The sequence below is a fragment of the Homo sapiens genome, chromosome 2 (assembly GCF_000001405.40).
Source record: "Homo sapiens chromosome 2, GRCh38.p14 Primary Assembly".
NCBI classification, from domain to species: Eukaryota; Metazoa; Chordata; class Mammalia; order Primates; family Hominidae; genus Homo; species Homo sapiens.
This window is the reverse complement of record NC_000002.12, coordinates 185,316,161-185,329,657: the sequence shown is the minus strand read 5'-3', so window position 1 is coordinate 185,329,657 and position 13,497 is coordinate 185,316,161. Positions and strand designations below refer to the sequence as shown.

The following is a 13,497-nucleotide window of genomic DNA, read 5'->3' as shown; positions in this document are numbered from 1 at the left end:
TCCCAATGACAATCCTTGCATAAATTTTTAAAAAGTATCCTAAAATGTGTGTAAAACCAGAAAAGACCCTGGATAGTCAAAGCAATTCTGAGCAAAAAGAAGAAAACTGGAGGCAGACTACCTGACAAAAAATATACTGCAAAACAAAACAGCATGGTATTGGTATAAGTAAAGACACACAGACTAATAAAATAGAAGAGAGAACCCAGAAACAAAGCAACAGTTTACATCCAACTGATTTTTTTAAATGGCATCAAGAACATATATTGCAAAAGGGAATAGTCTCTTTAATAAACGGTGCTGGGAAAATTGGATATTTATATGCAGAAGTATAAAAGTAGACCACTATTTTTCACCATTTACAAAAATCAACTCAAAAAGGATTAAAGGCATAAACATAAGACTAAAAACTCTAAAGCTGCTAGAAAAAAATGGAGAAATTCTTCAGGACATTGGTCTAGGCAAAGATTGTATAGCTAGGACTTTAAAAGCACAGGTGAAGCATGTATAGACAAATGGTACTATATTAAACTAAAAAGCTTCTGCACATTGAAGAAACAATTAGCAGAGTGAAAAGCAGCCTGTTGAATGAGAAAAAGTATTTGCAAACTATTCATCTGACAAGGGACTATTAACCTGAAAATACATGAATTCATGCATCTAATGGTAAAAGGAAAAATAAGACAAATAATCCCAGTAAAACATGGGCAAAAGACAGACATTTTTCAAATGAAGACATACAAATGGCCAAAAAACCTTTGAAGAAATGTTCAGCATTTCTAATCATCAGGAAAATTCAAATTAAAGCCACAATGACATATCATCTTACCCCAGTTGGGATAGTTATTATATAAAAGACCAAAAATAACAAATGCTGGCAAAGATATGGATAAAAGAGAACTCTTATACACTGTTGATGGGAATGTAAATTAGTATAATCACTGTGGAAAACAGTGTGGAAGTTTCTTAAAAGCCAAAAAATAGAATTACCATATGATCCAGCAATGCTACTAATAGGTATTTATCCAAAGGAAAGGAAATCAGTATATCAAAGGGATACCTGCACCCCATGTTTATTTCATTACCATTCACAATGGCTAAAATATCGAATCAACCCAAATGACCATCAACAGATAAATGGATAAAGAAAATGTGGCAAATATACACAACAGAATACTATTCAACCATTAAAAAATGCAATTCTGTCATTCATGGCAACATGGATGAGCCTGGAGGACATTATATTAAGTGCAATAAGACAGGAACTGAATGATAAATACTGCATGTTCTTATTTTTATGTGAGTATTTAAAAAATTCTGATCTCATGGAAGTAGAGAGTAAAATTGTGGAAATTAGAGGCTGGGAGGGGTGCAGTGGAAGGAAGATGGGGAGAGATTAGTTAAGAGATACAAAATTGGCTGGGCGTGGTAGCTCTCACCTGTAATACCAGCACTTTGGGAGGCCGAGGTGGGTGGATCACAAGGTCAGGAGTTCGAGACCAGCCTGGCCAATATGGTGAAACCCCATCTCTACTAAAAATACAAAACTTAGCTGGGCATGGTGGCGTTTGCCTGTAGTCCCAGCTACTTGGAAGGCTGAGGAATAAGAATCACTTGAACCCAAGACGAAGAGGTTGTAGTGAGCTGAGATCGTGCCACTGCACTCCAGCCTGGGTGACAGAGCAAGACTCTGTCTCAAAAATTAAAAAATAATAAAAATTTTAAAAAAAGAGAGAGAGAGAGATACAAAATTACAGCCAAATAGCAGAAGTGATTTCTGGTGTTCTGCAGTACTGTAGAGTAAATATGGTTAACAGTAAATTATTTCATATTGTTAAAAAGCTAGAAGAGAGGATTTTGAATGTTCACAGCACAAAGAAATGACACATTTGAAGTGATAGATATGGTAATTATCCTTGTTTCATTATTATACATTGTATACATGTATTGAAATTTTACTCCATGCTCCCAGAATATGGAAGATTATTGTGTGTAAACTAAAAATTAAAGGAAAAAAATTGTATACCAATTGAGTGAAATAGACTAATGACCCAAATTCTATTTTTCAGCAGGTGTGTTTAGTTCTTCATTTGTTTGTGTTTATTCTGTTGTGGTTCTCAGTACACTATATTATAATTATGTATTAATATTTCTAATTCCTTTAAATGGAGTGGAAGAATATGCTGTCCTGTTTCCACTAGTATATCCTAGAAAATTGGGTAAAATATGATAATTGAAAGAAGAAACATTTCATGTACAAGCGTTTTGGATAGATTAACTCACAAATGAAATGATTGTAGAGTATCTGGGAATCCCATTCAGCATGTTTTTGAATGAAGATAAGCTTGGATAAAAGTGAACACTCTAATAAATGCACTATTTCTAGATCAACTAAACCTACATCTTTTGTGCATCCTACTGATAAAATAGTTAATTCACCCCATATCAAATATATTCTCTTCTGGTTAAAACTTGACTGAAGAAAAAATGATCAAGGAGGAGATAATTGAATTAGCTAGGATGTCTTATCAAATGAGCCATGAAAATTTTTGTATGGCATTCATTCAGTTGGAAACACCATTGAAAATGCCTCCACTTTCATGCTGTTAGATGCTCACTGTTCATTAAGGATGCCCAGGCTTGTTCCCAGCATCTTAAACTATGCTCTGTCTTTCCTTATAGCAGGCAATCTAATATTGTTTGCAGACTTAGAAGGTAGAATGGTTGGCTTAAAAAGGTTTTTCTCTACTACTTCCTAAAATGGTAATCTGTGGAAAATTTCTCAACCTCTCTAAAGCCTCAATTTCCTTATCTTTAAAACCTAAATATAAACAACACATTTACTATCTCTTTTATTTTCACCATAACATTAATATTCAGTGCTTAGCACAGAGCCTGGCTACTAGTAATAGCTGTTAAGAGTTATCATTTTTCTTGTTTAGTTTGTAAGTTTTTTTTTTTTAGGTCTTACTGATTTGCCCTACTAAAAGCAAAGCTGACCACAACAAAAATATTAAGAGAAAACTCATCTATGGGAGAAGCATGAGAGGCAGTGGTGCCTATCTACCAGCATGCATGAATGGAACTTTGCAAATGATAAATCTATTGAATATAAGATGTCCATGCTATTGGATTCTTAATCAGTTTTGACAACAACAATTCTCCAGAACAAGAAACAGAATGCAATAGAATTAAGAAGAAACCATCTATTTCTCATTCAGATTTAAAATGCCTTTCATTGCCTTGAGGGTCACCACATTCTATATTATTATATACATGTGCATACATAGAAACATGCATATATCACACCAGAAGGTGGCATTTCAAAATATACACAGATTTCATTTTTACAGTATTAATAAATTATTATTTTAGTATGTAGTGTATAGCCTGCTACCAGAAACCAGTATGAAAAGATTTGCAAAAGAAGAATCAATCAGTCAAATTCTCCTCACATCTATTCCTTACAGATTCTATGTATTATTGTAGTTGCTATTGTTGCTATGGAGGAAGATAAAATGGTAATAAGAATTTATAATTAATGCAGAATTACAAGCTTCATGTTAGGGCTACTATAGGCTTCTATGAATCCATATGCCATAAGTTTAATATATAAATTATAACTTTATGTAAGAGTTAGAGAGATAAAGAATGGAGGTAAGAAAGCATGTAATGATTCTGGAACATAATGTAATAAAGTTCAGTTTTAAGTGGTGATAACATGGCAGGTGTTTACAGCAAATTCATACAACAATTAAAGAATGATCAAAAATTTATTTTGATACATATTTTGAAAGTAAACTTCAAGGGCATCGAAAAGTCATTTTTAAAAGTCTGGTTTTAATCCTAAATTAATGGGGGTCATTGCAGTATTTTAACATTTAAGTGATTAAAATTTTTGAAATGGGTGTGTGTAATTATTTCTTAATCCTAACGTTTACTTTTTAAAAATTAGAATGAATTTACAAAAAAACATGGAAGAAGATGTACTAGGAACAGTGAACATAAACAAATCCTTCAAGTTTTGTTACAGGAAAGACAAATACCACATGTTTTCACTCACGTGAGAGCTAAAAAAGTAGATCTTATGAACGGAGAGAGTAGATTGGTGGTTATCAGTGGCAGGAAAGGGTAGAGGAGAGGATAAAGAGAAGTTGATTAATGGGTATAAAAATACAGTTTGACAAGGCCAGGCACAGTGGCTCACACCTTTAATCCTAGCACTTTGGGAGGCCAAGGCGGGCAGATCACGAGGTCAGGAGATCAAGACCATTCTGGCGAACACGGTGAAACCCCATCTCTACTAAAAATACAAAAAATTAGCCGGGCATGGTGGCACGCGCCTGCAGTTCCAGCTACTCGGGAGGCTAAAGCAGGAGAATTGTTTGAACCTGGAAGGTGGACGTTGTAGGGAGCCAGGATCGGGCCACCACGCTCCAGCCTGGGTGACAGAGCGAGACTCTGTCTCAAAAAAAAAAAAAAAATACAGTTTGATAGAAAAAATAAGACTGAGTGTTTGATAGATGAGTAGGGTGACTATAGTTTGCAATAACTTATTGTATATTTCAAAATAGCTAGAAGATAATAATTAGAATGTTCCTAGCCTTTAAAAAAAAGAAAAATATTAAAGTGATGGAATCCCAACAACACTGATTTGATCTTTAAATATTATATAAATGTGTGCTACATTATCACATATACTGTGAAAATATGTACATTTGTTATGTATCAATAAATTATTTTCCAATGTTTTTGTTACCCAAAAGAGCAGAAAAAAAGAAAGCTGTATGTAAAGAGTGGTGGGATTAAGAAAGTTAGAGTAAATATACTAACTCTCAAGATCACCCTTAGAGACTATTATGTGAAGAGCCAAGTAGAAGAATCTGAAGCTTCCTCTTCACCAAAATTTAAGTCAAAAGTTTATCATATTCTAGGAGTGAGACTGAGGGAGGGACAGAGGCAAATCACAAATATTACCATCAGTGTTAAAGATGTCAAATCCTCAAGGGTAACGATTCCTAGAGCTTTCTTATTTAAAATCCAGTTTTACCAGTGCAGAAAAATTAGATCAGTCTTAGAGAATGACAGTATATTATCAATGATTATAGCTAATGTTCAGTTGGTCTTTCAGTGGTGTTCAATCTAGCCAATGCACTTTTTTTGTATTTTGAAATCTGAGAATGTGAGAAATTGTATTGAAACTAGCTAATCCAGTGATTCTACTTTATCACCTGTCTCAGCTTTATGTAGTCTCTCCTGCTTTTGTAGGCATCATACATGGAGAGGGCTTTTCTTTCCCAATTGTTAACGCAAAAGGATAACAGCTTTATCTGATGCTTGTTACAAGAGAAGGCTACCTAGTTTCCAGGCTGCACTGTAAATATTTCTGTCACATTGCCAGAAAGCAAGTTGAAATTAGTTGTGGTTGATCTGACTACTGTATACAGCCTGTGTCAAACACCAAATAATCCCAACGGAAGCTCCTATGTTTGGGGGCAAAATAATGCCCTCTTTATCAATTTACTGCTCCTCATCTGAGGGATAGTTCTTGCTTCTGGCTCCACTTGATCAACAAAGTTGTGATTATGGAACCTCAGGTAACCACATTTCAAGCTTTTCGTTATAAACTAATGCATTCTTAACACCAAGCTACAAAGTAAGATATACAAGCAGATTATGTCAGCACAAAGGACCAAGCCAAGAGAAGGTATACAAACATTTCGATTAGCTATTGGCAAGTCTGTTACATGACTACCAATTTTTCAACATTTATCCCTAGTCACATGGAATATTCCCACTATGAATATCTGTTGGAGGAAAAAAAAAAATTGAAGCCTAGCTCGAAGAGAGTTGTGTAAATATGATGGCATACTTCAGATATGAAGAGATGTGGAAGTGTGACAATGCCATAGCTATGCTCAGGGATAGCCCTGATGGACAATAAAACAGGAACATTATTAGTACCAACTAGAAACTCCTAGCAGAACTATAAAAACAACAGCAATGTTTGCCTATTTTTTTTCCAAAATGTGAAAATAAAAATATAGAATTTACTAGTAAAGCTATCAGGTGCTGAACTTTTATTTATTGGGAGATTTGTGATTATTGATTCAATATTCTTGTTTGTTATTGTCCTATTCAGATATTTATTTCTTCCTTATTCAGGCTTGATAAGTTGTGAGTTTCTAGGAATTTATTTATTTCTTCTAGGATATCCAATTTGTTGGCATATAATGGATCATAGTAGTCTCCTACGATCCTTTGTATTTCTGAAATATTCGTTCTTATGTCTCCTCTTTCATTTCTGAGTTTACTTATTTGAGTCTTCTTTTCCTTAGTTATTCTAGTTTAAATTTTGTCATTATTGAAGTCTTCAAAAAACACTTCAGTTTTTTTCTACTATTTTTCTAGTCTCTAATTCACGTCTGCTCTGATTTCTGTTATTTTCTTTCTTTTACTAACTTTGGTGTTTGTTTTTCTTTTTCTAGTTTTTGAGGTATAAAGTTAAGGTGTTTGAAATGTTTTTCTTCTGTAATCATTTTTTGTTAGAAATGTCCTTTTTAGTACTCTTTATGCTGTATCGCATAAGTTTTTGCATGGTATGTTTCCATTTTCATTGGTCTCAATATATTTTTAAATTTCCTTTTTGATTTCTTCTTTGACCTTGGCTGTTTAGAAATATGTTGTTTAATTTCCACATATTTGTGAATTTTCCTATGTTGTTCTTATTATTGATTTCTAGTTTTTTACCATTGTTGGAAAAGGTACTTGGTATGATGTTAATCTTCTTAAATTTGTTAAGACTTGTTTTCTGGCCTAACATATGATCTATCCTGGAGGATTTTCTCTGAGTGCTTAAAAAGAATGTGTATTCTGCTGCTGTGAAAAGAAGTTTTTGAATATGCCTGTTAGGTCCATTTGTTCTAAATGACAGTTCAAATCTAATGTTTTCTTGTTCACTTTTCTGACTGGATGAACTATCCATTGTGGACAGGAGGTTTTTGACATATCCTACTATTATTGTATTACTATCTATTTATCTTTTCAGATCCTTTTTATTTATTTATTTATTTTTTTGAGACAGGGTCTATCTCTGTCACCCAGGTTGGAATCCAATGGCATGATCTCGGCTCACTACAACCTCTGACTCCTGGGCTCAAACCATCCTTCCACCTCAGTCTCCCGAATAGCTGGAATTACAGGCGTGTGCCACCAGGCCTGGCTAGTTTTTGTCTATTTAGTAGAGATGGCATTTCTCCATATTGCCCAGGCTGGTCTTGAACTCCTGGGCTCAAGTGATCCTCCTGCCTCAGCCTCCCAAAGTTATGGGATTACAGGCATGAGCCTGTACATGTGTACAACGTGCAGGTTTGTTACATATGTATACATGTGCCATGTTGGTGTGCTGCACCCATTAACTCGTCATTTTGCATTAGGTATATCTCCTAATGCTATCCCTCCCCCCTCCCCCCACCCCACAACAGTCCCCGGTGTGTGATGTTGATAATTCTTAAAAATTCTAACTTAAAAAAACTGTTCTAGAGTAAAAATGCATATTCTACAAAAACCAAGAATTGTACTTCATCAATCTTCTCTCTAAAATAGCAGATAAAAAAGATAATTATTAAATAAACCAAAAGTTCAAGAAAAATAACTTTGAATATAAGTTTTTATAATAAACCTTATTTTAAATTGTATATACACATTTTTCAGATGCACAAGACTCATCTGAATGTTTTATTTTATTTTATTATGTTATATTTAAAGATTGTTCATTTTCCTTTGTCTGTTTGTGAAAATACCAATTTACAGCCTGGGCAACATGAAAAAACCCCATCTCTACAAAAAGTACAAAAATTAGCCAGGCATGGTTTGGCATGCCTATAGTCCCAGTTACTTAAGAGGCTCAGGTGGCAGGATTGCTTGAGCCGAGGAGGTCGAGGCTGCAATGAGCCATGATCATGCCACTGCATGACGGAGACTGTCTCAAAAAATAAAAATAAATACAAATACAAATTTAATTAAAGTCCCTTTATCAGAGAGCAGTTGAGATAACTCGTTTTTTAAATGGCACGGATTGATGAGAATGTTGTACTACTTAGGTAAATGGTAAGATTATACTTCATGAAAAATGGAGTACATCTAAGAAATTAACTTTTTATCCAAAGAAAATGTATCATAGCATATTCAACTGGTTAAAAAAAAGTTAGATGGTAACCTGAGTCTTTCACATTTATTGACTTCAGAAACTCTTTGGCTAAGGCAAAATATAAAAATAACTCAAAAGCTATTTTAATGTGGCTAAAGGTTTTCATTTTTAAAAAGTCATTTCTTGCCTTCCTTCTGGACTTCAATTCACAATGATCTTCTTTTAACCTGGAGTCAATCCTGCATAATGCAGGAATTGAATATGCCCTTTAAAGACACTTCCAACCCTGAAGCTCTTTGATTTTCAAATATATATGTAGTGTTACTGAGTATCAGAGCTGCCTGTTTTCTTCTATTCAACCTATCTTTAAAAGTATAGCAATTTAACCCTTACACAAAACCCCAGCTCCACAAATATCTGGCTCAAACTCTATCTCCTGAAATAGAATTAAAAGGAGACTTTCTTCATACTTTTCTGACTGAATTCACGCAGATTTTCGGCTAATCTCATCTGACTTGTTCATTTTAAACTCACAGAGGCTGGATTTGTGACATTTGTGTCTAATGTCTGGATTCCTAATCCGCTATATGCCTTTCCCAGATTCTACATTTGGTTTCTAATAATTTTCTAACTCCTCTTGCATTCTAAAATCAATGACCAACTAGGATTACAATGATATCACTATTTCCATAGCTATTTTATGTTTTATTTTATTTTATTGTGTTATATTTACGTTTTTATTAAGGAACTCACCATCATACCAAGAGTTCACATATCCTCCATCTGTACAATTTACCTCTTTCTTTAGTTTAATTTCTATCTTCCTATCTTCTTCTTCTATCTATGACTGGATTGACATAATGACCTTGTGCTTTGTGTTGATTTTGGCTTATGACACATGTGACCTACCAATTCTTTTTCTTCAGTCTCATTTACTGTTTCACTCTGCTATCTAATATGTATCAGTATGTTTTATTTCCTTTTGTAATGCCGAATTGACTCTTACAGATGTGAAGTGACAGGAAAATTTTTATCTTTTAATAGACGATGTACTTATTCTCCACTTCTGCATTTTCCTTCCATGTGAAGAGGGCTCTATTCATGGAATCACTTTTAGGAGATAAAAAGCAACTGTTCTGATTGATAAATAGTCAGAGAACTTAGCCTGAACTGAGTTTCTCCCATTATTTGGGGGAAAGGTATCTATTTCCAGCAGGGACATTTTCTAGGCTACTTTAAATCTTTCTTGGGGAAGTTGGGAGAGTTTTCTTTGTCTGAACTTGACTGTAACTGGGTATATAAGTCTTTCCAATGTGTGGGGCTCATATTATTAAGCCCTCTTGGTTAACACTCCTAAGCCACATTTAACCATCTCTCAGTAACAAACACATTTTGATATTTATTACGTTGAATATTGTACTAATTCCTGAGAGAGATATAAAGAGAGAGAGAGAGAGAGAGAGAGAGAGAGATTCTGAATGCAGGAAGGGCAGAAGCATGGTCTTGGTCTATAATCTGAGTTATATATTCACATCTTTCTTGCTCAGTTACTACAAATTCCGTCCTCATTTCCTTCATGTGAAGATTTCTCATCTCACCAGTAAAATAATTCTCTTCTACCCTTATCTCAGTGCACTTACATGAAATATCTTTCATAAATAATAACACCCTATTAAACACCTACTTTCATTTGATCTTCAAGACATTTTGAAAAAGGCTAAACCATCTTCAATTTGCAGATAAGGTTTACAGAGTATATATGTTAATATGGACTAAATTATGTTTCCCAAAATTTATATGTTAAAGTCCTAACCCTCAATGTGATTTTACTTGGAGATAGGTCCTTTAACATGGTAATTAAGGTTAAATGAGATCATATAGGTGGGGCCCTAATTTGATAGGACCAGTGTCTTTATAAGAAGAGAAAGAGACACAAGAGATCTTTCAGTGCACACACAGAGGAAAGGCCATGTGAGGATACAGCAAGGAGCTGGCCATCTACAAGGAGAGAGATCTCACAAAAACCAACCCTGCTGGCACCTTAACCTTGGACTTCCAGACTCTAGAACTCTAAGAAAATAAAGTTTTGCAGTTTAAGCTACTCAGTCTATAATATTCTGTTATGGCATTCAAACTGACTAATACAATGATTAAGTGGTTTATCTAGAAGATAACATCAGACATGGCCTGCCAGACACAAATGCATATCTCATTGTTCCCCTACCCCATCTTGTCTCTGTATCTAATATAAAACGCAGATTCCCCACATTTTTCCTCTGCCCCCTTTTGTTTATGTGAAAACTGTGTGCTTCTCAATATCCCTTCTCTTTCCACTTTAAATTTGGAGCTTTCAAAATCATATTTGAAGAAAGGCATAGATCTGCCTCCTGGGCAAAAGTTAATTTGCCTTAACTTTGGCAAATAAATTTTCTGAAATGATTGAGACTTGTCTCATCATTTTCTTCAACTGACACTACAAAGCCGCATGACATGGTTTATGGATACCAGAAAAGGTGAAGAATTGGGCCAATATTGAAATATTCAACAGTGGAGTAAATAAGTCCAATGAAAACATGTTTTTGTTTCTCTGATGAAGTCACTCAATCTTAGGTGTTCTGATCAAAGTATTATTTCTCTGTCCTTAGAATGCAAAATTATATTAATATATGTCATTTTATTGACCACCTGGGTCAACTTTCCCTGGAGTACTTACTCTTATATTCCATAGATAATTTATGAGATTTCAGGAAAATGTTCTTGAATTTATCAAAGCAAACATTGTAGCAGTCAAAAGCAAACAGATAAGGAAGACTTTGTTCAAGGTAGTTGCAATAGGGGAGAGAGGTCAGAACTCAATCGGAACACAATTCAACTAAAACAAAAGGATTGGAGAGTTCTGAAGAGCTAGCATCTGGTGATTGAAGGTCATCTGTGTTTGCTAATTGGCTTTTCCCAAAGAAAAAGTAAACTTTCTCATATCTTCATGACAGGAGGTAATGTTATAACTTGCAGCAAGTGTCAGGCAGGAGTTAGCCTTTTACCTTCCCTGAGAAACTGGGAGATAGGGGTACCATCCTCGATGATGATTACATTCCAAAGGGATGACTCCCAGGTCTTAGAGAAATATATTCCTGGGTTGTAAAACTGTTACAAAGTCTTTCTAAAGCATTTACATCTCAAAGAGGCAAAGAAAGAATGTGCAATTACAAGGTTTCTAAAGTAAATGCTCTAAGTAAATGTTCTGGTTCAGGAGCCTAGAGGCAGTCTGCGCTGTCTAAAGTAAGCTGAGGTGAAAGCTAAAGTAGTCTTGGTTAAATTACATTTTAAAATATTTGTTCTGTTCCAGCTATTCTAGTTCTCTCTGTTTCAGTTTTCTTTCTACAATGAATCATTGAGGTATTTAAGGTTTGAAGGTATAACTTTATTTAATAAGAGGTTTCAAAGTTGGAAAACATATTTTGTAGACCATAATGAAAAGTTAATTAGACTTTGTATTATTTACTTTAATAGTATAATATTGTGATAACTTTTAAGAGGAAGACAGATGTTTTTAGAATTAGCATTTTGAATCAAGAGAAATTGCATTATACAAGAACGCTATAATCACATTTGAGATCAATATTGTTCAATCCAACTACACACATCTTGCTCTGAGTGGCAAAAATCCACATTCTCTTCCTAAATATACTCCTGGCATAAGACAACAAAAGTGATATTTGTGGGGAGATGTTCCGATTTCACCTCATATTGTGAATGTTATTCAAACAGTGGACATATTTTGGTGTGTACATGCCTAGAAAATGAGGGGTGGAAATTATATATGCTCATGAAATAGTTGCAAACACACTCATACAAATACACACACACAGATGGTCACTAGCTCCCTAAAATAGTCAGGTTTGAAAATCACCAATTTATATTTGAGGTCCAAAAAAAACAATAATTTCAAAACTTTATGTCATTTAGCAATTTGCAGGATTTGAGCTGACTACCAGAATTTATCCGAGCTGTGCCTTTCAACCAAGACAACCATCACAGTGGCTTTTTAGTGATGCAAATGCAAAAGGCAGAGGTACTCATTGTTGTAGTCCTAGATTGTAAAGTAACAGGCATAAAAATATTTTAGGATGAGTACAAGTGCCTGAATGTTAGTGCATATTATGTAAAAGGATGGGTGTGTGCATCTGCATCCGTATTAATTTTCAGACATATGTTCACAGGAATTTTATAACTCAGACCACACAAAGAGCTGAAAGAGGTGAGTGCATCATATCCATTCAGAACTGTCTACTGAAAGAGAGGCTGGACTAGGCAAAGCTACAGGGCATTTTATAAAGACTTTTAATGTCTCACACACAAAATTATTTAAAATTAAAAAACCTTTACTTAACAAAATAAATTAAGTTTTGACTATTGTGGTTTCAAGTGACCCTAATTATCAATTACATCTCTATTGGACTCATCAGATAATAAATGGGAGGTAGGTAATGTTATTAACATTACCAGCTCAGCCACTGAATAACCTGAGGGGTACAGTGCCAATTGAATGTGCAATACCTACAGAGGAGAAATGAGCTTTTTCTGAGCCACTTTAAAGTAAACTAATCTTATTTTTTTCTTGCAACATTCAGGATAGTTACAAGTTCCATAAATTTCTACCTTCTTTGCTAGGCCAGTGTCCTGTTCCTCAAAAACAATTTTCAACCTCTGAAAAGTTTTTATGCTTGTTACCCACAAGTGGCTATTAATAATTTACTGCTTTATTATGCTGTGAATTCACCACAAAGAAATTGGTGACAGTGTCGGACCTTGTTACTCCAAACTGTGAGTACTTTTTTAGGTTCATCCTTATCACTTATCAATGAACCTGCTCTTTCTGTAGAAGAGAAGGTTCAGCCCTTTGATGTGGTTTGGCTGTGTCCCCACCCACATCTCATCTTGAATTCTCACATGTTGTAGGAGGGACCCTGTGGGAGGTAATTGAATCATAGGGGAAGTTCTTTCCTGTGCTGTTCTCAAGACAGTAAGTCTCACAAGATGTGATGGTTATTATAAGGGGGAGTTTTCCTGCACAAGCTCTCTCTTTGCCGGCTGCCATCCATGTAAGATGTGACTTGCTGCTCCTTGCCATCTGCCATGATTGTGAAGTCTCTTCAGCCATGTGGAGCCGTAAGTACAATAAAACTCTTTCTTCTGTAAATTGCCCAGCCTTGGGTATGTCTTTATCAGCAGCGTGAAAATGGACTAATACACCACTGATACCTTCCTTTAATCCAGTGCCATTGGCAAGGTACAGAGAGAAGTTTTCTAGATATTTCAAGATGTTCTAGAAGGGCTGCATATTTTCA

General features: G+C 34.8%; 1 annotated feature.

Annotated features, from left to right (window-relative positions):
- Positions 13,056-13,195: an enhancer, noted in NCBI's record as "active region_16842". NCBI's record gives its function as "activates an Ori minimal core promoter by ATAC-STARR-seq in GM12878 lymphoblastoid cells {active_cell/tissue: GM12878}" and the evidence as "EXISTENCE:reporter gene assay evidence [ECO:0000049][PMID:35858748]".